The sequence below is a fragment of the Homo sapiens genome, chromosome 15 (assembly GCF_000001405.40).
Source record: "Homo sapiens chromosome 15, GRCh38.p14 Primary Assembly".
Lineage (NCBI taxonomy): Eukaryota > Metazoa > Chordata > Mammalia > Primates > Hominidae > Homo > Homo sapiens.
Window position 1 is genome coordinate 30,505,279 of NC_000015.10, and position 27,912 is coordinate 30,533,190.

General features: G+C 45.6%; 1 protein-coding gene and 1 pseudogene across 1 annotated transcript; both read left to right on the plus strand.

Moving 5' to 3' along the window:
• Nucleotides 2,086-7,510, plus strand: MPHOSPH10P3 (MPHOSPH10 pseudogene 3; annotated as a pseudogene).
• On the plus strand, nucleotides 7,494-13,189 carry LOC124903452 (golgin subfamily A member 6-like protein 1; the record flags this gene model as incomplete). The annotated part of the gene is made up of 6 exons (XM_047433404.1): nucleotides 7,494-7,510; nucleotides 8,354-8,420; nucleotides 10,804-10,862; nucleotides 11,193-11,334; nucleotides 11,660-12,541; nucleotides 12,925-13,189. Coding segments are annotated over 6 exons (1,362 nt in total), but the record flags the coding sequence as incomplete, so codon positions are not given.
• Between the last annotated feature and the right edge of the window lie 14,723 nt (nucleotides 13,190-27,912).

A 27,912-nucleotide genomic window follows, 5' to 3' on the forward strand; every position in this document is an offset into this window, starting at 1 on the left:
ATTCAACAAAACCAAAAGCTAGGCTTTCACAAACGTAAATAAAATTGATAAACCTCTTCCCAGGCATGAGCGTACAAGATGAGAGAAAGAAAGAATACAAATTACCAATATCAGCAATGAAAGAAGAATCATTACTACTGATTATTGATACCGTGCACTTTTAAAAGATTCTAAGATTCTACAAGCAACTTTATCCTTGTAAATTTGATACCTTAAATAAAGTGGACCAATTCCTTAAAAGACACAAACTAATAAATTCATGCAAGGAAAAACAGACTAGCCCTATACATATTTTCTTTTTTTTTTTTTTTCTGAGATGGAGTCTTGCTCTTTCGCCCAGGCCAGAGTGCAGTGGCGCTACCTCGGCTCACTGCAAGCGTCACCTCCTGGGGTTCACGCCATTCTCCTGCCTCAGCCTCCCAAGTAGCTGGGACTACAGGCGCCTGCCACCGCGCCCGGCTAATTTTTTATATTTTTAGTAGAGACGGGGTTTCACCGTGTTAACCAGGATTGTCTTGATCTCCTGACTTTGTGATCCACCCACCTCGGCCTCCCAAAGTGCTGGAATTACAGGCATGAGCCACCGCGCCCGGCCGCCCTATACATATTTTCTAAAAATTAAATTAATAATAAAAACCTTCCAAAAAAGCAACAGGCTCAAGCTCAGATGATTACACTGGTGAATTATACCAGTGAAAAAATTATTCTCCATATTTTTTTTCCAGAAAAGAGAAGCAGAGGAAAAACCTCCCAACTCATTTTATGATATCATCATTACTCTAATCCCAAAACCAGATAAAGACATTACAACATTGAAAAGAAACTATAGATCAGTATCTCTTATGAACCTAGACACAAAAGCTTCCACCAAACATTAGCAAGTCAAATCCAGTAATGTAGAAAAAGGATAATACATCACAACAAAATGGAGTCCATTTCTGAATATAAGGATTCAATATTTTAAAATACATCATTGTACTTTATCATATTAATATTAATAGACTAAGAAAAACAACACAATTGTATCAGTAGAAGCAGAAGAAGCATTAAACAGAATTCAAGACCTGTTCATGATAGAAACTCCACAAAGTAATGTGAACTATGGATTTTGAGTGATAATAATGTGTCAGTGTATGTTTATAGTTTATAACAAATGTACCACTCTGGTGTGGGGGGTTGACAGTGGACGGGACTGTGTGTGAGTAGGGTGTATAGGGGGACTTTGTGTGGGTAGGGTGTATATGGGGACTGTGTGTGGGTAGGGTGTATATGGGAACTGCGTGTACTTTCTGCTCAATTTTGCTGTGAACCTAAAACTGCTTTAAAAAAAAAAAATAAAGCCAGCCAGCTGCGATGGCTTATGCCTGTAATCTCAGCACTTTGGGAGGCCGAGGTGAGCAGATCGTGAGGTTGGGAGATCGAGACCATCCTGGTTAACATGGTGAAACCCCATCTCTACTAAAAATACAAAAAATTAGCCAGGCGTGGTGGCACTCACCTGTAGTCCCAGCTACTTGGGAGGCTGAGGCAGGAAAATCATTTGAACCGGGGAGGCAGAGGTTGCAGTGAGCTCAGATCACGCCACTGCACTCCAGCCTGGGTGACAGAGCGAGACTCTATCTCAAAATAAATAAATAAACAAATAAATAAATAAAGCCTATTTTATAAAAAAGAAAAATTCAGCCGGGCACGGTGGCTCACGCCTGTAATCCCAGCACTTTTTTGGGAGGCCGAGGTGGGTGGATCATGAGGTCAGGAGATCCAGACCATCCTGACTAACATGAGTGAAAGAATGGAGTGGTATATAATGTAGCAGAGTTGATAATTTAAGGCTAATTCACTATATATCTCCAAGCAAATAGATTTGTAATGCTTTTCCTGCCTAAAATCTGTACAGCTGATTCACAAATACTTGGTTGACAGGTTTTATATATCAGTGTGGCTCATCAGCTTGTATGTTGTTGGGGCCAGAATCTATACTTACACTTCATTCAAATTTGATTTTACAGAAGAGTTGTGGTTTTTATTTTTCTTTTAATTAAGAGGGCTGTGAAATTATCAACTATAACTCTAAATCTCATTTAATTCCTCCCATTAGGATTCAAGATGGATTGGCATCAAAGTTCACTTCTTTAACAAAAGTGCTTTATGACCTTAATAAAATATTAGAGAATGGTAGGATCCATGGAAGCCCTTTACAAAAACTTGTGATAGAAAGTTTTGATGATAAGCAGACTTTGCAACAACTGGAATTGCAAAATGACCCAATTTTACAAAGCTTCCAGAATGCAGTTAGTGAAACAAAGATGAAGATATCAGTATCCCAGAGAGTGAAGAACAGGAGCATGAAGAGGATGGTTCAGAGACAGAGGCTGATGGCCAGGAGGACCTAGAAGATTTAGAGGAGGAGGAGGAAGTGTCAGATATGGGTGGTGACAATCCTGAAGTGAGTGAGAGAGCAAACTCAAGCAAATTCGATCCGACGAAAAGCCCAGTTCTCAGTGATGAGGATTCTGACCTTGACTTTCATATCAACAAATTGGAACAGCAGAGCAAGGTGCGAAACAAAGGACACGGGAAACCAAGAGAAAAGTCCATAGCAGATGAGAAATTCTTCCAACTCTCTGAAATGGAGGCCTATTTAGAAAACAGAAAAAGAAGAGGAACGAAAAGATGGTAATGATGATGACGTAGAAGATACTGATTTTTTTAAGATATTGATTCTGATGAAGATGAAGGGGCACTGTTTAGAAGTAAAAAAACTTAAGGTAAAATTTTGAGAGAGGAGAGAGCACTTTCCTCCTCCTCAAATTACCTTTTGTTCTGTTTTTCTAGGACAGATGTAATTGTAGTTAGAAGATTTGGATCTAAGAAATATTGTGCTCTATCTTATCAGTTATAAATGAATCTGTACTTCCATTCAGTTTCTGTTCCAGTTGTTCTTATAATAGTTTTATGGTAATGTTTTTAGTTGCTGATTTCACCTAATAACTATTTTTGGCTTGTAGTGTTATTAAGTTAGAAAGTAACGTAGACATACAGTATACACACAAATATATATGTGTGTGCTAACGATGTATTTTTCTCTTCCTAATTAATAGTTTTAAAAATCTTTTTATTTTAGTCAGGTAAAAGTTCCAGAAATGTGAAGGACAAAGACTTTTTTTGATCCAGTTGAAAGTGATGAAGACATAGCAAGTGATGATGATGATGATCTGGGTTCAAACAAGCTGATGAAATTGCTGAAGAAGCAGCAGAAGAACTAAGCATTTCTGAAATGTAAGTATTTGAACCATCCTTTATATTGTGAGCTGGAACTGTCCAATCATGTATTGGTACTTGTGGTTTTCACATATGTTTGTTTTAAGAAGTTAGATTCTCTCCTATCAGATATTCTCAAGATAGCCACAGGAAAGTCTGTGTATTTAAAGGGACATTAGAGATCATTTAATGAAGAAAAATATTACTGGCAATGGCAATCAAACCTTTCTGACCAGGAACTTTGATTTGGTTTTGTGCCCCAAAAATCCTGTTATTTCTGTGAGATTGAACAATTTATTTTCTATATATTGGACACTTTTTGTTCTGTTTCTTACATAGCATTTCACTTAAATGATACCTTCTGTTCCTTAATACCTGAATGATTTTGGAACTTCTGAGTATTTGGTTGCATTAGGCATATAAAAGAAGAACTTTATTAAGGGAAATATGTTTCCTTTTGTTTTTCTAATGGAAAGCAGTATATTTCTTTTTATAAGAATTTTGTAGTGTAGGGATGAAGATGATGACCTGGAAGAAAGTGAAGACAGTAAACAATGTAAAGAAAGCTTGAAAAGAGTGACCTTCACTTTGCCAGATGATGAGGCAATTGAAGATGCAGGTGTTTCACATGTAAAGAAAAATTCTGATGAAGTTAAATCCTCTTTTAAAAAAAGACAGGAAAAGGTAATTAGGAATTTAAGGAATTTTTAATATGCTTGACATGATTGTGGAACTCACAGACTACTAACAAATCTTCCCTATTTTTCTTTTTTTTTTCTTGAGATAGAGTCTTGCTCTGTCACCCAGGCTGGAGTGCAATGGCATGATCTCAGCTCACTGCAGCCTCCACCTCCCGGGTTCAAGTGATTCTGCCTCAGCCTCCTGAGTAGCTGAGATTAGAGGTGCATGACACCATGCCTGGCTAATTTTTGTATTTTTAGAAGACATGGGGTTTCACCGTGTTGGGCAGGCTGGTCTCGAACTCCTGACCTCAGGTGATCCTCCTGCCTCAGCCTCCCAAAGTGCTGAGGTTACAGGCATGAGCCACTGTGCCCCAGCCTTCCTATTTTTCTTGTTGTAACTATTAACCATCCTTTGCAAACAAATATCTTGGCCAGGTGCAGTGGCTTATGCCTGTAATCCTAAAACTTTGGTTGTCTGATGCAGGAGGATCGCTTGAGCTCAGGAGTTCAAGATCAGCCTGGGTGACATAGTGAGATCTTGTCTCTTCAAAAAATACAAAAATTAGTGGGGGCATAGTGGTGTATGCCTGTAGTCCAGCTACTCAGGTGGCTGAGGCAGGAGGATCACTTGAGCCCAGGAGGTTGATGTTGCAGTGAGCTATGATCACATCACTGCTCTCCAGCTTGGGCGGTGGAGCAAGATCCTGTCTTCAAACAAACAAACAAAACCAAAAATCTTGCTGCCACTCTCTAAAGCAAAAGCACACTATATGGAGATGCCATATGGAAAACATCTGATTTGCAAAAATCAGTGCCTGCATTACCCAGCCTATAGCTTTCAATTTGGGGCCTGTGTGTAAAATGGTTGTTTCTTTTCTGTCTCCCTTATGTCTTTATATGCATAGCATGTCTCTTCTGACAAAGCTGTCCCGACAGCCTCTTCTTGTAACTGTTTTGACTGCTCCGGAGGATGCCGCCTATGTCTTTAAGGTGCTCCACAGATTTTGGTGAGTGCCAAATAGCCGTAATTTTAATTAATACCATGACAAAGATATCTTCCAAAGTATGTCATGATTTCAGACAAGTGAAATTTCATTTAATTTTTGTAGATGTAGTCTGGCTCCAATAATTGGGCTATATTATTTATCCAATCTTAAAATTTTATTATAAAAATGAGAATAGTGCCAGGTACAGTAGCTCACACTTGTAATCCCAGCACTTTGGGAGGCTCAGAAGGGAGGATTGCTTGAGCCCAGGAGTTCGAGACCAGCCTGGGCAACATGTTGAAACCCCATCTCCACTAAAAATATAAAAAATTAGCTGGGTGTGGTAGCGTGAGCCTATAGTCTCTGCTACTCAAGAGGCTGATCGGGTATGATCGCTTGAGTCCAGGAGTTCAAGGCTGCAGTGAGCTATGATTGGACTATGGCACTCCAGCCTGGGCAACAGAGCTGCAGAATAGGTAAATAAATGATACCAAGAATATCAAAAGAATTATTTTTAAAATCTGTGAATCTAAATTAAATTCATCATTGTCAGATTGTCCCCAGAAGATAAATTCTAAAGGGAAAAAACAAAACATAAAATATCAACGAGTTAATGTCCTCCTGTCCCGCTCCTCCCACCCTCCCCCAACAAGAAAGAAAAAAAGGTTTGGTTTTGCTTTGAAATTATATCAGACCTTCAAGTAAAATTTTCAATAAATCACAAATAATTTATTGAAATTTCCACATATAAAGAATAAAGTAGAACTTTCAAACTTTTTTCTTTTGAAACTGTTCGAACATGAAAACCCAAACCTGACAAAGGTACCTGACAAAGGTAACATTAAAACACACACACTCTCTCATTCATGGCTAGTGATGCAAACATAGCACAGTGGGAAAATTATGCCGCACAATCACATGAAGCTCATTCCCTTGAATCACTACTAGAAGATCTGGTATGATTCCTGGTTGCAAGACATTAAGAAGAAAATACATGGTTCCCTCCATATATGTTAGAAAGACATTTGATAAAATTCAATATTTATTTCTAATTTTTTTTACTCCTAGTGGATTATAAATACATCTAGCCAAAAGCTGCCATCATGCATGATGAGTGAAACTGTAGAAACATCCCTTTAAGATCAGGAATAAGACAAAATGTCCAGTATTGCAGTTATCCCTGTTAATTAACACTAACAGTTAATAACCACATAAGCCAGTGCAACTACAAAAGATAAAGAGAAGGGATTAGGAAAACTGCCAGGAGCAGTGGTTCTCACCTGCAATCCCAGCACTTTGGGAGCTCAGGAGCTCCCAGCACTTGAGCTCAGGAGTTTGAGACCAGCCTGGGCAACGTAGTGAGACCTCATCTCTGCAAAAAATACAAAATTAGCTGGGTGTGGTTACATGCACCTGTGGTCCCAGCTACTTGGGAGACTGAGGTAAAAGGACTGCTTGAGCCTGGGAGTCGGAGGTTGCAATGAGCTGAGATCATGCAACTGTACTCCAGAGCAAGACTCTGTCTCAAAAGAAAAAAAAAAAAAAAAAAGATTAGGGATACTAAAACGAAAACATTAGTGTTTGGAGAGAAAACCGAATGGATAAATGGAATCGATATTAGGAAAATAAGAGAATTCTGTAAGGTAGCTGAAAAAGCTGACATTTTATACATTGAAGTCATAATTGTTCATAACTTTTAGAAGTTAGAGATAATAAGAATTTGAGTTTAGAGTCAAAAGGGTCAGGCTCCATCAAATACTAATATCCTAATCAAAGAATTACTTGGCCAGGTGCGGCGGCTCATGCCTGTAATCCCAGCACTTTGGGAGGCCGAGGCGGACACATGACGAGGTCAGGAGATCGAGACCATCCTGGCTAACACAGTGAAACCCCGTCTCTTCTGAAAATAGAAAAAATTAGCCGGGCGAGGTGGCGGGTGCCTGTAGTCCCAGCTACTCGGGAGGCTGAGGCAGGAGAATGGTGTGAACCCGGGAGGTGGAGCTTTCAGTGAGCCGAAATCACGCCACTGCACTCCAGCCTGGGCAACAGAGCGAGAGACTTTGTCTCGAAAAGAAAAAAAAGAATTATTTAACTTAACTTTAGGGTGCTCTAATAATCAAAATTGATAGTGGCTTGTGAACAGATAGATCACTTGAATAGAATAGAGCCCAGAAATAAACCCAAATGCTTCTGGGGGAGTTTAGTATATTATAAACATGGCATTTCAAATCAATGAGGAAAAGAAATCATTTGCAGCTCACCCCACCATAGGCAGCAGGAATAGGAAGTCATTGGCAGAATAAAAAGATGGTAAGGACAGAATTGTAGAACAGTACATTTCTTGCTTCCCCACTTTTCAAAGTATTTTTTGCTTTTACACAAGTATAAGTGTAATTTGATTTTCTCAATGTATACTAATTCTTTTGTCTCTTTCTTAGATGAATGAAAAAAATTACACCTTTAGAAAAAGAGTTGTTATAAAAAAGCCTTGGTTGCGTCTGGGGGAAGTGACAGCACAGAAGAGACCAGAGAATAGCCTGCTGGAGGAGACCCTGCACTTTGACCATGCTGTCCGGATGGGTACGGTGCCCTCTTCTGCAAAGTTTTTCTATGGTTCCATTTTGTAGGAAGATTTGGGGTGATGTTTCTTTTCCCTCAACTTTTTATTTTAAAAACTTGCAAACACAGAAAAGTTGATAAAATAATACAGTGAACATCAGTATGCTATTCAACTGGATTCACCAATTAACATTTTATCATATTTGTTTTGTCTCCCCTGCATATGGAAGATTGTATATGTGCCCTTTTCCCCCCGAATCATTTCAAAGTAAGTTGCCAGTATCAGCATTTCAGTGTTAAGTACTTTCGCAGATATCTTCTAGGAACCAGGACGTTCTCCTATATAATCACAATACCATTAATCCCACCCCAAAAATTTAACATCAATACACTAATGATACCTACTGTATAGATTATAATCAGCTTTCTTGCAGTAATCTGTTTAGAAGGCTTGCACCCTGTCACCATCCACTGATTAAATTTTGAACTCTAACTTGAAACCCTGCTCATCTCATTGCCTTCTTTCTTATACCCATTAAGTCAAAAAGAGCTCTCATTTTATTTCAACGGAAAAGAGAATGGAAAAGAGGGGAAGGTACCTGGGATAAAGTATGAGCACTTACTGCCATATGTATTCTAGTTCTGTAGTTTTCAAACTTCAGGGAGCATCTCAAGGCTTATTAAAGGACAGACAGCTGTCCCTCTTCCCCACTTTCTGATTCAGGAGGTGTGGGGCTGGCCCAGGAATTTGCATGTCTAACAAGTTCCCACGTGTTGCTGATGCTGAGGGTCTAAGGACTACAATGGGAGAATCCGTGGTTTAGTGGATATCCACCTAAAGAATACTTGTTGTATTTCCTTTAGTGCCTGTGATTACAGAGGAAATACCTTTCAACTGGAAGATATCATTAAACACAGGAAAAGAGATCAGGTCAGTAAGAATTAAATTTAACTTAATTGAAATGTCACTGAAATTTTTAGAAATAATATGACAGGCCAGGCACAGTGGCTCATGCCTGTAATCCCAGCACTTTGGGAGGCCAAGGCGGACAGATCTCTTGAGGTCAAGAGTTTGAGACCAGGCTGTCCAAGATGGTAAACCCCGCTCTCTACTAAAAATACAAAAATTAGCTGGGCATGGTAGTGCATGCCTGTAGTCCCAGCTACTTGGGAGGCTGAGGCAGGGGAATTGCTTGAACTCGGGAGATGGAGGTTGCAGTGAGCTGAGATGCGCCACTGCACTCTGAGACTCTATCTCAAAATAAATAAATAAATAAATAAATAAATAAATAAATAAATAAATAAAAATAAAAAATAAAGGGAAGATGGGGCAGCTTTGTGTAGTGCACTTCCCGAAAATGGGCTGATTTCCCTCAAGAGGCAGGGATTGAAGCTCTCTAGCCTACATGGGATACATACAGGAGAAAAAAGAAGAAAAAGAAAAGAAATGTAAACATAAATAAATGAAAATAACACTTCTCCCTGATTATAAAGGAAATCACATTCTTTTTGTAATAATTTGGATGACAAAATATAAAGAAAAATCTTTAATTTTGCCACTCAAAACATTCTGGTTTGTTGCTTTTTACACTTTTTATGCATATAAACATATTTAAAAGTAGAATCTGCCATGTTGAGACTGTGAGGTTGAAGCCTTCGGGAAAGAACATCAAGATGAATGGAGTCTGAGTTCCTGACAACATGGAGCATCATGCCAGCCATGAACCACTTCTGAGACATCCCTATGAGACAAAAATAAACTTCCATGTTCTTTAATTTATCATTTTGGAGGGTTTTCTGTTATTGCCGCAAAACCTAATCTTAACTAATACAGACATTGTATCTGAAATTCCCAGGAAAATCCCTGTAAACGTGTTGCTTGCCACGAATAACTGGCCTCTACCAGTATCACATTCCAGATGAGCAGAACAGGGAAAGGATTGGAAGACAAGAGAGGGGAGGAACACACCTCGCTCTCTCCTGCTATTGGCTGTGCCTGGCTGCAAGCTAGAAATGCTGGGTCCATTGCAAATGGCCACACATCTAAGGCCCTACCACCATGGGAACAGCCACTGGGAGATAACTAGCAGCTTTTACCATTTGTCATTTAATTATTTTAAAGTTAGAAACTTTTTCTTTTTGAATGTCTGAAAGAGAATGGCCTGAGAAATATTTTGGAAAAGTTAAATAAAGCTGATTTGTGACTGTTAAAAAAAATAAAAGTACAATCATAGTAAATGGGCTTTTGTCACTTATTATATTTTAAACATGTTTCTAGGGCAGAAGTATATCCTGGCATCATCATTTTTAATAGCTGGATTATGTTAAGTGAATCATTGCCACCCCAGAGGTGAATTTCCTCTATATACATTTTAATGGACTCCAGTAAGGATTTTTGCACTGAATTCATAGAAGTAGAATTTCTAGAGGAAAATAATGTAAAACTGTTTTAGGATTTTTAAAAGAAATGTTCAAATTATTCTGTAGGAAAATTGGTTCAGTTTATGCTCCCACCAACAGGGACAGAGCTCCAGGTTCCCCCTTCCATTTGTCATCTTTGCTGGTCTTTAAGCAGAAAATCTCATTGTTTTCATTACATTTCTTTGATTTCTAGTGCTTTTGAATCTTTTTCGTTTGCTCATTGGCCATTTTTATTCTTGTGGGAAGTGCCGGTTTCTCCATTGCCCATTTTCTGCTGGAAATCATTCATTTTTTTAATGAGTAATTTTAAATTTTTCTTTTTAGGCTAAGGATAAGTCAGGATCAGTCAGTTCAAGACTAGACTGATCAACATGGAGAAACCCCGTCTCTACTAAAAAGACAAAATTAGCTGGGTGTGGTGGCACATGCCTATAATCCCAGCTACTCAGGACTCTGAGGCAGGAGAATTGCTTGAATCCAGGAGGTGGAGGTTGTGGTGAGCCGAGATTGCACCATTGCACTCCAGCCAGGGCAACAAGAGCCGAACTCTGCAAGAAAGAAAAAGCAAGAAAGCAAGAAAGCAAGAAAGCAAGGGAAGCACGGGAAGCAAGGGAGAAAGGAAATAAAGGGAAGAAGGAAGGAAGGAAGGAAAGAAAGAAAGAAAGAAAGAAAGAAAGAAAGAAAGAAAGAAAGAAAGAAAGAAAGAAGAAAGAAAGAAAGAGAAAACAAAGAAAAAACAAATGAGACCATGGGCTTGGAAATGCCTTGAGAACATGTCAGGTGTGATTGAGAGTGAGGGAGTGTTACTGTGGAGTATCAGTGTAGCTGTTGTTCTGGTCGTCCAGCTACTCCTCTGCCTGCTCTATCCTGACTTAACCTTTCTCTATTTGCAGTACATCGAGAAATTAACAAAGGAGAGGGACGCTCTGAGTCTGGAACTGTACAGGAACACGTAGGATGGGGGAAGGTGGAATGGGAGGTCTGGGGGCCCTTAGAGTGGGTGGTGTGCTGGGAGGTGGGGGGTACAGGTGAGCATGGTGAGAGGCTTCTACAGGTTTTCATGTGTGCACAGGGAAGCTCTAGTGCCGGCGGTGCCACTGACTCATGGGGAAGCCTCAGGCAACTCATGTCTTCTCTCTGGCCTGCCACCTGTGACTTTTAATTCCTGGGGTCCTTTCCAATGCCACCGTTCTGTGGTTGTGTGGTGAAAGTAGAGGGTTGATCACCAAAGCGGTCCTTTCTATTCTTCGTTCATTCCTTTCTCTACTGCCTCTGGCCACAGCATAACCGATGAGGAGTTGAAGGAGAAAAATGCCGAACTACAAGAAAAACTTCGACTTGTAGAATCTGAAAAGTCTGAGATCCAGCTCAACGTAAAGGACCTTAAAAGGAAGCTGGAAAGGGCCCAGCTCCTGCTGCCACAGGCGAGCAGCTGCAGCCCCGGGGGTTGTGGGAGCCCCATCCGGCTGGGGCCATGGTCTAGGGATCATGTAGGGTGTGGGGAGGCTCCAGCCAAGAGCTGGAAAATTTGGGTCCTTGTTCTGGTCCCACCATAGAATCCTCTGGAGTGTGCTAAAAATATACAAATTGGGGCCCTGCCTGGGGAATCAGAATCTCAGAGTTTGGGCTTAAAAAAATATTTTTCAAAGGATCATAGATGAAAACCATTATTTTATAGATTACATTTATATGGCTAGCTCATGAGTCTGTTTCCTTCTGAGGTTTGAACCAACACTTTCACTATTCCAGCAGCAGCTGCAGGTGGAGGCTGACCGCCTGGGTAAGGAGCTACAGAGTGTGTCAGCAAAGCTCCAAGCCCAGGTGGAAGAGAACGAGTTGTGGAACCTCCTGAACCAGCAACAAGAGGAGAAGATGTGGAGGCAGGAGGAGAAGATACAGGAGCAGGAAGAGAAGATGTGTGAGCAGGAGCTGAAGATAAGGGAGCAGGAGGAGAAGATGTGGAGGCAGGAGGAGAAGATGCATGAGCAGGAAGAGAAGATACGGGAGCAGGAGGACAAGATGTGGAGGCAGGAGGAGAAGATACGGGAGCAGGAAGAGAAGATACGGGAGCAGGAGGAGAAGATGTGGAGGCAGGAGGAGAAGATACGGGAGCAGGATGAGAAGATACAGGAGCAGGAGGAGGAGATGTGGAGGCAGGAGGAGAAGATACGGGAGCAGGAGGAGAAGAGGCAGGAGAAGATGTGGAGGCAGGAGAAGAAGATGCGCGAGCAGGATGAGAAGATACGGGAGCAGGAGGAGGAGATGTGGAGGCAGGAGGAGAAGATACGGGAGCTGGAGGAGATGATGCAAGATCAGGAGGAGAAGCTGCGGGAGGTGGAGGAGAAAATGCAGGAGGAGGAGGAAAAGATGCAGGAGCAGGAGGAGAAGATACAGAGGCAGGAGGAGAAGATCCAGGAGCAGGAGGAGAAGACGTGGAGGCAGGAGAAGCTGCTCAAGCAGGAAGAGAAGATATGGGAGCAGGAGGAGAAGATGTGGAGGCAGGAGGAGAAGATGTGGGAACAGGAGGAGAAGATGCAGGAACAGGAGGAGAAGATGCAGAGGCAGGAGGAGAAGATGCGGGAGCAGGAAGTGAGGCTGTGGCAGCAGGAGGAGAAGATGCAGGAACAGGAGGTGAGGCTGCAGGAGCTGGAGGAGAGGCTGGGGAAGCTGGGGCAGAAGGCGGAGCTCTTGGGGGGAGCAGGCAGAGGTGTGTGCAAACCCTGGAGATCATACAGAACGACCTCACCACAACTTAGCAGATGGTGGTTGGCTCCCTCTGCTTTTCCACCAGTCTGCGGCCTACAGTTTAAATGGTGGGAAGAAGGGTGTGAGATTTGAGGCTGGGGAGGGAGGCATGGGCCTCTAGGCAAGGGAGGCAGTCACTTAGGCCTGGAGGAAGGGGCCAGGGCCAGGGGCCTGAGCAGGCGACAGAGCCCCGCAGTGCCCTTGCCACCCTGTTTATGGGCCCAGAATCTGGAAGCCAGCGACTACCTACCCTGACGCCTATCCTGCAGGTGGAGCTGAAGAGCCAAGAGGCTCAGAGTCTGCAGCAGCAGCAAGACCACTACCGGGGTCACCTGCAGCAGTACGTGGCCGCCTATCAGCAGCTGGCCTCTGGGAAGGAGGCACTGCCCAGCTGCAGCAGCAGGAAGCTCAGGGCGAAGCGGTGGCTGAGATGGCCCACCAATAGTTGCAGGAGACCCAGCTGAGGGAGTTGATGAGGGTGGGGCCCTGAGGGGGACGACCTGGCAAACTCGGTGCCTTCTCACTCTCTTTCCTGGCCCCTTAGGAGCACCTGGAAGCTGCCATCTACCAAGCAGATGACAAGAACACAAATATAATAAACATGTAAAAGCCGGCAGCAAGGCCTGGAGAAGAGTAAGCTGCCATGTGACTGTTTAGAATAGAGTCTGAGCACAAACCTGAAAAAAAAAAAAAGAAAATTTATTTATTTTAAATTTTGGCAAAATACTGGCCAGGCACGGTGGCTCATGCCTGTAATCCCAGCAATTTGGGAGGCTGAGGTGAATGGATGACCTGAGGTCAGGAGTTCAAGGCCAGCCTGGCCAATACAAAAATTAGCCGGGCATGGTGGCACATGCCTGTAATCCCAACTACTTGGGAGGCTGAGGCAGGAGAATCGCTTGAACCTGGGAGGCAGAGGTTGCAGTGAGCTGAGATCGTGCCACTGCACTCAAGCCTGGGTGACAGAGTGAGACTCTGTCTCAAAAAAAAAAAAAAAGTTTCTTCCTTACATGTATGTTTCTATTAGTTTTTTTCTTGGTCTTTCTCATTTAGTCTGATGTTGTCTTATGGCATTCCTAGTAAAGTTTTATCTGCCTCCAGAGAGTATTGACTTTGACTTTATGGCACACAATTGGAGTAAGGGCAGATCGCCTTCATCTAGTTTGTGACTAAGCTAGTTCAAAGCAGGTTTTAGGTTTTGTGACGGCTGGTCTATATTTTATTCATTTGGACTCCTAGGGGTGGCCCTTCCAGGGTCCCCACCAATGTCCCATCTCCTTCCTGGGACCCAAATTCTCATTAGGTCATTTCAGCCCTGTGAGAGTGCCAACATTCAGCTAGGCTCTCCAGCCCCTTAACTACCACTTCATATTCAGTTTCTTAGCCTCTTAGCCCTCTACTGTTGACCGATCACCAAATGTGGGAAAAGCACTACAGACTGTCAGGATCACCTCCCAGGCCTGGTCACTCAAGTGCTGGCTGAGGTCTCCAATTACCTTCCAACAATTGTTTTTGGTGGTGGGGCACATTTTTGTCCAGTTTTTCTAACTGTTCCTATGGGGAGGCGAATCTGTAACAAGCTCCTCTGCCTTTAGTGAAAGTTGAAAACCTTCATCTGTCTCTCTCTCTTTTTTTTTTTTTTTTTTGAGATGGAGTCTTGGTCTGTTGCCCAGGCTCTAGTGCAGTGGCATGATCTCTGCTCACTGTAACCTCTGCCTCCTGGGTTCAAGCAATTCTCCTGCCTCAGCTTCCCGAGTAGCTGGGATTACAGGCGTGTGCCACCATGCCTGGCTAATTTTTATTTTTTAAATAGAGACAGGATTTCACCACATTTTCCAGGCTGGTCTCGAGCTCCTGACTCAGGTGAGCTACCTGCCTCAGCCTCCCAAAGTGCTGGGATTACAGACGTGAGCCATTGCATCCGGCCCATCTGTCTTTTAAGAAATGTATTTAATTTGAGGTATAGTTTATATTCAGTGAAATGCACAGATCTGGTTTCCATTTTGATCAGTTTCAACAAATGCATTACCCATGTAACCCACCTCCTTTGAAGATATAGAGTATTTCTATCATCCAGAAAGTTCTCCTACGCTTTCATCCTGTCTGGCACTCCCCCAGCAGCTGAAGAACGTGCTGAGGACATTGGTACAGGATTCTGGCCTCCCCAGAAGAGCTGCTTTGACAAGCCTTCTTGCCTTACCCAGCACTAAATCCCTGCCTACTCTCTCAAAATTTCCATCTTTTAACTGGTTGTACGTATAACCCTCCCTCATCAAGTCAATAGATAAACAAACCCTGAAAAATAAACACCCCTTCCTGGCCCAGCAGCCCACAGCCTAATATTTACTGTCTTCCCGGGCTTTCAGAAATGTAACTCGCCTGCCGGTTCACCCTAACTAGGGCGGCAGCTGCACGGGAGCTGCTGGGCTCACCCGTTAAGCAAGAAGCCAATAGCTGGACAGTGACACTCAGACCCCAGCCTGGGTGAGCCTGGTTGAAAGCCCCCTTCTTTCCCGTCCGACTGTGGAGAAAGGGGGCGGAGCACACACAACTCTACTGCCCTCCGCATCCTTCAGCTGTGCTTCCTCCTGGGAGAGGGAGCTACTCATTAATTCGGCCAAAACCTTCTTGAGGGCTGTAGGTTTCACAGGCTGGGTGTGTGGGGGCCACCATGCTAGAGAGAGAGGCTGGTGTGTCAGAAGGCAGCCACCTGGCCAGGGGAGGGTCAACCTGCTTGGTGACCTCCTTCCCCCGGCTGGACACAGCGCCCTGCACTCTCTACATGTGACTGTTCCCCTCAGAGCTGCTTCCAGAGGAGAGGTTCTAACCCTGTGGGTGGGGACATTGTGTTACTTTACAGTGGGCCATGGCTCCCTCTGACATCTCCAACTCAGAGGCCGTAGAGAGAAGATGAGAAACTCCATGCACCTCCTCGCTCAGCACCCCCACCTCTGCACACGTCCACATATGGAGACCCTGACGATGGGCCCTGGGAGTGCCGCCATCTGCGCCTCCTTTCCATGCCTGCAGCAGCCATGCCCACTCTCCAGACCCTCACCCGCCTTGCTCAGTAGACGCTGCACTGCCTGTGGTCCTGCCCCTACACCTGGGCCTCTGTACCCATCGGTTCTCGCAGTCTGGTTCTTATTCCTCGCAAAGAGTAGGGAGCCTGTAAGGTCACCTGTTGAGCAAGCTGGGGGAGAGAGTAGGGTGGGGCTGGGAGGATGAGGAGGAGAAGCTCATGGTCGTGCTGGAGACTCAGCTGAGCAGAGTCTCTGCAGGCCCATTGGCTGCCTAGCCAGTGGTGATCCTGCTCCCACCCTCATTTCTTCTTTGTTAACAAAACCATGACCTCATTAAATATTGGACACCTATAAACCTCATGGACCCTCCTCCAGCCTCCCCGCCATGTATTGGTGAGTCTAAGTCAACTCTAGTCATTTCATTCCTCTGGACATTGATTGCTTTGGGCTTGGGCATGAGCTGCCTCTTCGCCTGAGCCTGAGCCACAGGTGCCCTCTGCACCTACCACACTGATGCACTGGGCCAGGGAGAGCTCCATCTCGATGGAGATGAGCTGTGAGGAGCTGGCGGCTGGGCGGATCAGGTTGTGGTAACGGGTTTTGTTCAGAAGGTCGTCCATCAGCTTCTGCTCGGCAGGGCCATGCGGCAGAACCCTGCGTAAACACACAGACCTGCTTGGTCCTTGTGCAGCTGTCCCCCACTGCAGCTGACAGCTATGAAGCAGGAGCTGAGAGGGCCAGGGAGCACAGACACCCTGAGAGCTGGCTGAAGCAGTGAAGGGGCTGGCCGGCCTGGCTCTCCCTGGGGACTTCAAATGACATTCACGACAGAGCTCAGCTATCTCCTCCCATGCCATACCTCTTCCTCCTCCTCCTCCCTCAATCAATGAACAGCATCCCACGCTCTACACATCTGATACAAAACTGGGTGTCTCTTCCTGACCCCTCCCTTGGTTCATATAAGTGGCCACCAAGTCCTGTCTGTCCTCCCATCTCCACGGCTACAGCCATGTCCCTGCCTCCCCCGCCCTGCCCACCTTCTATTCTCTCCACCTGCACTCTGCCCCTGCCATCCATGTGCCATACAGTGGCAGACTGGTCTTTCTACAGCAAACTGGACTTGGGCCCTTCCCTACCCACAGCTCTCAGAGCTGGAGGTGGAGTTGAAGCTCATGTTTTGGCTTGGCATTCAGAGCTCTTTCCCCCTCAGCTCTGGCTTATCCAGAGTGCTCACAGTGCAGGGCAGGAGCCCCATCACTCAAGTGTGGGTTTGGTGCAGAACTGGGTCAGAGGTGGTGCTTTCCCTATGAAGAGACAGGGCTGAGATGGGATATTCGGGGTTCAGAGTCAGATCTATGGAGTGCAAGGTTTCTCTGAGGCACCAAATGGAGGGGTCCAGCTAGCAGCTGGCTCCTGGTCTGGAGCTTCAAGGAGAGGTCTCAGCTCAGAGCCACATTCAATAGCCAGCTTACATGCGGCCTCCTGCAGGGAGCCCCTGGAGCTTCCACAGCCTCCGATCTGCCCCTCTGCATACCCCAGATCTCCTGCTAAGTGGCGTTTGGGTCTTCATGTCATCTCCCTCCCATGTCTGGGAGTAAAGGTGAGGTGCAGGGACTTGCGCTTGTGTACTCTGGTGTCTTAAGGGAGAGTGTGTCAAGTAGAGTGCAGGCGGCTTGGAAAGAGGGAGACTCAGAGGAGAGTAAAGGACACATGACCAGGCGAGCCTGGGAGCAGGAAAAGAGTGAGCAGAGGAAACTGCTGGGTCAGGGGAGCGGATGGGAGGATCAGGGAATGCGGGGGGCTGGAGAGGTGGGTGTGGGGATGCTGGCAAGGGGCTGCCTGGCTCGCCAGGCTCAGGAGTTTTTACATCCTCCCACAATGGCCAGCTCACCTGGTCGCTCCAAAGCCCTCCCTCTGTGGGTGGGACCAGAGGGCCCAGAGCACGGATGACCCAGTTGAGCAGGACTGAGGTGGACTCAGATGGGTGCTGGGCTGGACTCCTGGCCGTAGGGAGCAGCTGCCACCCTGCCTACTGCATCCACATTCCAACTCGCTGCCTATCTGAGCAGATGCAATATTGGGCACCTTGTGGAACATGCTCCTGGTGCACCTGCTGCCTCCTGCCCTTCCTGCAGAGTGCCCGGGCTCTCCAGAGGGGATTCCTGTGGAGGCTTGGCCTAGATTCTGAGTCCTGCCTCTCATACCCGGGGCTGCTACCCAAGAGGCCAGCTGCTTGAGTACCCTGGAAGCCAGTCTGTAGCCCCAGGCTACAGCTGGGTGCATCCCACAGCCCTTCTTTAGTTTACCTATTTGGACTGAGTGCTCATTTCATAGAGAGGGGTGTGTCTTTCCCCAGCCCATCTGGCATGTCTAAGGCAGCTGTGGGGTCAGAATCTGCAGCTCCCAGCCCCTAGCCCTGCAATAGTAGGAGAGGCTGGACCCCACATCTCTGAAGTCCCACTGGGCTGGTGCAAGTGGGCTCCCAAGTTCAGAGCTGCTGTGCAGGCTGTGGGGCTCATGCACCTGTTCTGAACCCACCTGATGTGCTCAGGTTACTCACCTTTGGGCCTGTCCTGCCTCTCTGGCATTCGGCTGACCCTGAGGGCCTCTCCCTCATCTTGACCACCAGCTATGGGCTCTGACTTAGGGGTTCCCAGAACCTTAGACCATTTGGCCGACCCCCCATTTCTCAGCTGAGGAAACAGGCCAAAAAGGGGAAGCAGCTTTCTCAAGGACCCCCAGCAAGTCAGAGGCAGAACCAGGTCTAGGAACCTCTTTTTGACAGAGGTTCTCCCTGTCCCCTGAGCCTTCTTTAGTGCCTCATTAACTTCCCTGTAAGGAGACTGCCCCGCTGAGGCTGGAAATGGTGCTGTCCAGGGTGGTGTGTGCCCGTGACTGTGCTTGTGTTTGTACTTGTGAGTGTGTATGGGGGTGGGGATGAGGGGTGGGAATAAACGGCAGGGATGCTGGGGGCTGGAATACACTCTGCCTCACCCCAAAAAGGGGCACAGCAGAGCCCAGCCAAGCACAGCACATGCTTCGACTTTCCAGTCTGCTGAATGAGTGTGAGGCCGGCTGGGCCCAGAAGACAAGGGACAGGCCTTTCCCCACAGATGGCAGGGGGGGCCCAGGATGGGTGGAAGATTTTGCCACAGCTTTGGGGATCCCATCCCAGCCCATGGGCTGACTGTTAAGCAGAAAAGCCACCTCTAGGGGTCAGTCATGATCTAGTGATTCTGATGAGGAGGGGGCCCCACCAGCCTCTGTCCAGGGTCTTGTCTGGGAAAAACTGCTCCCTGGCAGAAACGGGCTAATAATTTGAGAGGAAGCCATAGCTGAAATCCTAAACTGTGTGAGTGTGTGTCCAGTTTGAAAAAGCATATTTGACCTAAACATTTATATTGAAAAAATGGAAAGATATTCCCCTTGTTTTGGAATACAAACTACAGAAAGTAACAGTTAACAGAATCCTATTGGAAAGGTCAGATTCTGCATCTGGAAAGGCACAGTGATTTTCAACTGGGGTGTGTGTCCTTAACTGAGGAAGGGAAGGTGAGATTTATGTTTAGTAAAAGGCAGCTATGAATTTACCTTTTATAAAGAGCTTGCCATATACTATTAGTGCTTTTTCAATCATGTCAGAATCTGCCGGATGCCTGTGGAAATGCAAATTCCCAGGCTTCATTCCCAGAGATTCTGGTCCTGTGAGCCTAGGGTGGGGCCCAGCAAACTCTATGGGGTGGTGCAGGCTGCCCCAGGACCACACCAAGAAACACTGCAACTGGCCCCCACACACATCCCAGTCCCCAAATATGTAGGCAGGCATCTTATCTCCACGGAACAGATAGGGAAACTGAGGTCAGAGTGGGGAAAGAAATGTCATGGGGTCACCCAGGAAGTAGTAGCATAGCCACGATACACCCACTGCCTGCAGTCACCATCTCTGGTGGCAGCTCCACCTCCCTACAGGAACCTTGCCTACCCCCACCCCTACCTCCTGTTGCCCCTATGCTGGGTCTCTGTCCAAGGAAGATGTAGCCCTGGTCCTCTAGGCTGACTGGGGCTTGGCCCAGAGTGTGGGAGTTAGAAGGGTCCTTGGAATTCAGGTGGGGAAACTGAGGCCCAAAGAAGGCAGCCCTCACATTTGAACTCTGTCTGGAGAAGGGCTAGGTCTTCTTCCTGAGTGGTAGTTTTGACTTCACCAGCCTGGCCCTCAGTCAAGCTGGCTGTCCAGGCCCGCCACACCTCGGGGTGGGTGACCAGAGGCGGTGGTGCCATAAAACACGTTTCCTGGGAGATCCACGCCCATAGCTCAAAACATTCCAGGTCTGGTGATTTGGGCAAGCCCCCTTCTCTCTCAGCCTTGTTTCCCTGTCTCTACAATAGCTGTGTTGCAGGAGACGTCTGTCTCGGACTGAGCTGCAGATTTTCTCCTGGCTGCCTTCACCGTCCAGGATGCTGGCTCCTCTGTGTCCACTCTTCAAGACAGTCACCTCTTAGGTGAGGAAGGAGCCTCGGCCCTATCGGGAGTGGGAGCCGGTGCACCCCCAGCCTCCCAGGCCGCTGGGGATGACTTAGGCTGCCTGCAAAGCCAGTGCCATTCGGCGCCGCTTCCCAGGCTGCAGACGACCTCCAGGGAAGGAGGCCCTGGCCCTCACAGCAGCTCTGAGAAGAGGTGGCCCCCACTCCAAACCTCGCCGAGCCACCCACACATTCCCTCAGCCCAAAGAGGCTTTTAGGAAAATGAATCATCTCAAGTTCATACCCATGGGGTTGCTGAAAGAAAGGACAGTGCAGGGTGAGCTGGCATGAGGGAGTGCTGCTCTCTGCAGACTTTGCTGGGATGGCTCTTAGGAAAAGGGCCTGGAATCTGGGATGGTGACTAGCTCAGGGTTAAAGGGAGGGGATGGAGCTGGAGTGAGCTGGCCTCATCGTCCCCCTTGGGCCTTCCAGCCTGGGCTCAGGTGATTCAAGGGAGCAAGCACCTCCTTCTCCTGGCCAGGGAGTTCTCGCCACGTTCTGGAATCAGTACCATTCCCTTGGGGGCTGGGGGACAGCAACCACCTCCGGACCTGGCTGGAACTGCTGCAATTCTGGATCCAAATGGCCCCTGGCAGCTTCTCCATCTCCCTCTCAGTCCAGCCCCCACCCCTCCCCCATGAGGGCCCCAACAGCAAATCTGACAACTGGAGGAACAAGGCAGGAAGGGCAGAATCTGAGGGAGTGACCACCTTCAAAAGGCAGCTCTGTCACCTTCTCTCCAGGACTCTGAGGCTTGCTTTCATATTGCTTCCTCGACATCCTTTTGCTATAATCTGGCATGTTGACATATGGTCTTTAAAAACAAGAACACTGATGACGTGGAGCAGACTTCCCCTTTGGGATGGTGTGGAGAAGTTAGGGTTGAGGGCATCCTCTCTTCTGCAAACTGCAGCAGTAATAGGTGAGATATATAAAGTAAATAAAGGCCAGGTGCGGTGGCTTACGCCTGTTATCCCAGCACTTTGGGAGGCCGAGGTAGGCTGATCACCTGAGGTCAGGAGCTCAAGACCAGCCTGGCCAACATGGTGAAAACCGGTGTTTACTAAAAATACAAAAATTAGCCAGGCATAGTGGCACACACCTGTAGTCACACCTACTCAGGAGGCTGAGGCAGGGGAATCACTTGAACCCAAGAGGCGGAGGTTGCAGTGAACGGAGATCTCACCACTGCATTCCAGCCTGGATGACAGAGTGAGACTCCATCTCAAAAAATAAAAATAAAAAATTAAGTAAATAAAAAAGACACGCCCAGGCTGAAAAATAAGTTAATCACCTTCATGAATGAAAAGCAGTAAAGAAATGCAAAGTGGTTGGAGGCTGAAGAGCCTGGAGCCTGCTGGGCTTTGAAAACCAAAGACAGTGACAGGTCTTTTGGGATAAAGGGGTACCAAATGACTCCTAGCTAGAAGCTGAGAGCTTAGGTGTACCCCAGTACTTGAAAGCATGCTGGCCAGGTGCAGTGGCTCATGCCTTTAATCCCAGCACTTTGGGAGGCCGAGGTGGGCAGATCACGAGGTCAGGAGATCAAGACCATCCTGGCTAACACGGTGAAACACCGTCTCTACTAAAAATACAAAAAAAAATTAGCCGGGTGTGGTGGCGGGCACCTGTAATCCCAGCTACTTGGGAGGCTGAGGCAGGAGAATCCCTTGAACCTGGGAGGCAGAGGTTGCGGTGAGCTGAGATCACACCACTACACTCCAGCCTAGGCGAAAAGAGCGAGACTTCATCTCAAAAAAACAGAACAAAATAAAACAAAACAAAAAACAACCAAGGGTGCTGGATCCCTGGCTTTATGGGATGTATACCTTCCCAGTATCCCCAGGACAGGAGCTTGCACATGCTGTAAAACCTGTAGGCCACTGCAAAACTGTCAACGTCAGGCTAGCAAAGGTGATAGGATTAAATAGGTTTTTATAAAAGTTTGACAAGTTTTTTTAATAAAAGAAAAAGAGCTATTTAATTATCTATCAAGAATAATATAATCTTGGTACAAAGCTTGGCACAAAAGGATGTCCAAGGAAAGTTCACGATGGAACAGTCTGAATGACGAGTCTTTGTCACAGGGAGAGGGCACAGGGCAGTGCTTAGTGCTTGGCCTCTGGAGCCAGGAAATCCGGATTTGTATTCCTGCTGCCACTACTTATCCTCCCTGTGACCTTAGGGAAAATGACTTGCCTTCACTGGGCCTTCACTTCCTCATTGATAAAGGGGGAAATAACCTTTACAATAAGCCTTCTAGGATGAAATGAAATAATTCAAGGAAAGTAACTTAACAAGACCCAGAACATAGAAAACCAAATAGATGTTAACTATTATTAACTTTTAGGAACATGAATTCCAAAACTTTAAGTAAAATAATACCAAGTTGAATACAGCAATGTACACACACACAAATAATGCATCATGGTGAATTAGGTTTTATTACAATAATGCAAGGGCAGAGTCAACATCAGATAATGCACTATTAGCAAGCTAGCTTCCTTTTTTTTTAAGACAAGGTCTCACTGTCACCCAGGCTGGGGTGTAGTGTCAACATCTTGGCTCACTGCAACCTCCACCTCCCCAGCTCAAGCAATCCTCCCCACAGCCTTCCAAAGTGCTGAGGTTACAGCTGTGCGCCACCACACCCGGCCCTATCTTCCTTAATGTAAAGCAATTATCATACTTAATAGTAAAATTTTAGAAGTGCTTTTCGTCAAAGTTAGGACATAGACAAGGGTACCTTCTATCGCTGTATCTACTGAACATGGCACTGGAGACCCTAGGTAATGTGTTAGGCTAATACATATGAAATTGCCATTTTTTTAAGGTTATGGAGTGCAGTGGAGTGCAGTGGCATAGCATCAGAAATGTATGTAATTCAACCTATAATAGAAATAAATCAGCTAGGTGAGATGGCTTATGCCTATAACCCCAGCACTTTGGGAGGCTGAGGCAGGAAGATCACCTGAGGTTAGGAGTTGGAGACGAGCCTGGCCAAAATGATGAAACCTCATCTGTACTAAAAAAAAAAAACACACAAAAATTACCCAGGTGTGGTGGTGGGTGCCTGTAATCCCAGTTACTCAGGAGGCTGAGGCAGGAGAATCTCTAGAACTCGGGAGGTGGAGGTTGCAGTGAGCCAAAATTGTTTCACTGTACTCCAGCCTGCGCAACAGAGTGAGGCTCTGTCTCAAAAACAAACAAACAAACAAACAGAAAGAAAGAAAGTTTCAAGTTTTCTCTTTACACAATATGGATGTACTTCATAATGGACTTTCTCATCATGATTCATGAGTGAAGTGACATTCAAACTTGGTAGCTTTTCAGTAGAACTTCCTTTCCCAACATTTTTTTCTGTTCCTTTAATGATGGCAATATCTGAGAGCTCTGAACATAAGTCAAAGGTTTGATTATTTTTCATGTGGCTGGAAATTTTTGCCCTCTGTCAAACTTGGAAATTTTTTCCTCTGCCTGGAACTTTTTGCCCCGCATCTTCCGATCGCCCCGTGTCCTCTTGTTATGCCACTACCCTTTTTTGAGTGTGTCTATTTTCTGGCACTACAATACACTCTGGCACTACAAGGCTCATCTTGTGTTTTCTCTACCCTGACCCAGAATCAGCCATTACTTCAAGGAGCCCTGGTTCTGATATTGGAGAATGCTGTTAGAAACCAGGATGTGGTACTAGGCATGCCGATTTCTATTGGAGTGTCATATAAAAAATTTGTAAATTTTTTGTAGGTCCTCCCAGTGGATAGGATTAGGAAATAAAACATGCATACTAACCACACATATACACACATCTACATCTGTTTCTGTATCTGTCTGTATACATATTAAAATAAACATGAGTTGATAACGAATGTTTCCGCTTTAATCCAAGCACAGATTTCATCCTAGCCTCCCCCTCTTCCTTCTTTTTAGCCTTTTCAACAGTGGGAAGTGTGGCTCTTGTTATGTACACTTTATTCACTTATTTGTTTGACCCTAGTATCATAAAGTAGTTCCATATGCCTGTGACAGATTGATTAACTGGAGTCCATTGTTTGTGGAGAAATATTTTTGTCCTAAGCCTTACAGCAGGGGTGGCCAAACTTTTGGCTTCCCTGGGTCACACTGGAAAAAGAAGAATTGTCTTGGGCCACACATAAAAATACACTAACACTAACAATAGCTGATGAGCTAAAAAAAAAAATCACAAAAAAATTTCATAATGTTTTAAGAAAGTTTACTAATTGGTTTTGGGCCACATGCAAAGCCATCCTGGGCTGCAGGTTGGACAAGCTTGCCTTACAGTATCCAGTCAAAATACTGTTTTCCAAAATTAGTTATTTTCTTCTTCATCCCTTTCAGTGTGGCCACTATTTATAATGCAGTTTGGTTCATTAGTGTTTGTATTCCAAAAACACCCTCAGCCTTCCTATCCTAGTTTTAATGAATTATTACGGTGAAACATAATAAGAGTCGGAGCTATACAGAAAGGTCTACTCAGAGGTGCTTTGTTCCCTCCTATTCTGTTCCCACCACTCCTACTTTCCACTACTTTTTCCACTGACCCTGTGAGCATCATATTTATTGTTAATGGCAGTTACATTTTTACCAAGTGCTTACTATCTGTAGGCACTTGGTGTGTATTGCTTCTTCTGGTGTTCACAGCAACCTCTTGAGGTAGGCACTATTATTATCCACCCCCCCCCCGCCCCGTTTTTTGAGACAGAGTCTCACTCTGTTGCCCAGGCTGGAGTGCAGTGGTGCGATCTCAGCTCACTGCAACCTCTGCCTCCCAAGTTCAAGCAATTCTCCTGCCTCTGCTTCCCAAGTAGCTGCAAGTACAGGTGCGAGCCACCACACCCATCTAATTTTTGTATTTTTAGCAGGCATGGGGTTTTGCCATGTTGGCCAGGCTGGTCTCAAACTCCTGACCTCAGGTGATCCCCATTTTTTAGATGAGAAAGCAGAGTCCCAGAGAGCATAAGGAGCTTGTCCAGAGTGGCATCTCTGATGCATAACCAGTACTCAAACCAGTATTTTTCTGACACCAAGGCCTGTGTGTAAACTGTAAAAGGGCTGTTTGGTACCTGCTTTCCTAAAGTTGTCTGATCCCTTCTCAGTCCAGGTCTTCCTGAAGCTTGGCACTTCTGAAGTCACCTTTCTGAAAACATTCTGGTAACTGTTAGATCCCTTGTTGTAGCTATTCATATGTTCTGTGTGGTTAAACAAGGTTCACAGTGGGCCACCTGGCCTTTGGAACTTGGCTGAAGAGGCTGCCTTCAGTTCATCCTCCCCACCCCCGTTTTCAAAACATGGGTTTCCATGTGTTCGTTGTAAATTAGGAAACATAACCATGTTTTGAGGCTTCATAGAAAACAAACGTCTGGGGTCACACAGGTTAAAGGAGGAACCAAATTCAGCACTATCACTGTTCTATTCGGCAGGCAATTCTGGGGCCTTCCTGTGTCTCAGGTTCTGTACTAGTTGTTTCAGGACTTTGGGATAAACACAAACTATCCCTGCCCTCAGGGGGATTAAGGTCAGGTGTACAAATGACTCTAATGCGAGGCAAGGCTGGATTCAGTGCTGGAAGAGGAGGGCATACCTAACACTACGGGAATTCAAAGAGGAAATGATCAGAATGAGGAGGGAGAGATGGGTCATTCCGGGAGAAGCTTCAGGGAAAGGCAACATTTGAAATGAGACTTTGGAGAGTGAGGGAGGTTTGGGCAGATGGATAGAGAGGATGCAAGGCCAGGGGAAAGGTTTGAGCCAGAAAGTCAGCTTGGGCAAGTGCATGGGTAAAAAAAGAAAATCCACTTTGGGAGGCCGAGGCAGGTGGATCGCCGGAAGTCAGGAGTTGGAGACTAGCCTGGCCCACATGGTGAAACCCTGTCTCTCCTAAAAATACAGAAATTAGCTGGGCATGATGCTGGGCACCTGTAATTCCAGCTACTTGGGAGGCTGAGGCAGGAGAATCACTTGAACCCAGGAGGCAGAGATTGCAGTGAGCTGAGATCACACCACTGCACTCCAGCCTGGGCAACAAGAATAAAACTTCATCAAAAAAAAAAAAAAAGAAAGAAAATCACAAGGCAGTGTGGAGAATGGTGAGTAATCTAATTTGGTTATTGCAGAGAGGATGTAGAAGGAAGTGACAAGAGAGAAAGCCAGACAGGTGGCTTGGGGTCATCTTAAGGGCCTTTGTGCCAGTTAGGATGTTCCAGACTTCAGTCAGGCTGCCCAGCTCAGACTGGCTCAGACAATGAGGGGGTTTATTGGCCGTGTAATTGGGAAGTCCAGAGGCTCCAGGACTACAGAAAATTATTATTTAGTATTAGTTTGACAGCAACACCTTCTGTTTTCTGGGAGCAGGAGATGCTTGTCAAGCTGTAGGTCACTGAGTTGAATATTATCCTGCTTTATTAAATTGCCAAGGGCACGGTAATTGTTGAGAGGGGAGAAGTACACATGAAAGAAAACATGACCAGCTTAGAAACGTCAAATCATTATGACGTTGTTATAAAGTATTATAATTCTTTGAGCGTCTACTATAAGTAGAGAAACTTGAGTTCCAGGTTGTCGGCTTGGTTCTGCCAACAATCAGGAACGTGGTTTTGCATGAAGCCCTTCTTTCTCCTATAATCTTCAGTGTCCTCACCTGCAAAATGAGGCCTTTATATATATATATATATATATATATATATATATATATATATATATATATTTTTTTTTTTTTTTTTTTTTTTTTTTGAGACGGAGTCTCGTTCTGTCGCCCAGGCTGAAGTTCAGTGGTACAATCGCTGTTCACTGCAAACTCCCCCTCCTGGGTTCACAGCATTGTCCTGCCTCAGCCTCCCGAGTAGCTGGGACCACAGGCACCTGCCACCACGCCCAGCTAATTTTTTGTGTTTTTAGTAGAGATGGGGTTTCACCGTGTTAGCCAGGATGGTCTCCATCTCCTGATCTCGTGATCTGCCCGCCTCAGCCTCCCAACGTGCTAGGATTACAGGTGTGAGCCACCACGCCCGGCCAAGGCCTTTATTATACTATGGTTCCTACTGTTTTTTAAAATACTTTTATTAAGTCCAACATTTTTATTAAGAACATTGCTTTTATACATGCCTATTTATGAAAGGGGTTTTCGAGTGTTTACCACTTTTTATTAGAAATAGAGACAGTAAGAATGTTTGACTTAATTGACACAGGCATAATTGAATGGGTATAAATGGCATGCCATAGAAAGAGAAAATTAAGTTGAGCTACTCTGTTGGTTTCACTGATGAGGGGATACATCATTCAAACAGCCAGGAATTAAATCCGTCCAGCTCACAAATGGGGAAACCAGCTGTGTCTGTACCCATGGCCAGCCAGACTGAACACAAATCAGGAAAGTCAATAACTTTTCCTCAGTTCTGAGGGACTTCAGTGGCTGCGGTTCATTTTCCTTTTGCTTCTGAAACAGTGCAAGTTGATGCTCGCCTGGACAGAGCGGCAGTGAGTGGTGGCGTCTGAAGGCCAGGTCTCTGTTGAGATGACTACACGTCGTCTCCCAGTGCCCAATGCATAGAAAAGATACACTACTAAGTGTGAGATGCTCAGTGAAAAATAAAATCTGGGGTTGAATCATCATGGGGGATACTGCATACTCTGTTTCCCCCCTGCAGATTTCCAATGCTCATTAGTTTATAGAGACTCTGAGAATTCCTACAGCAA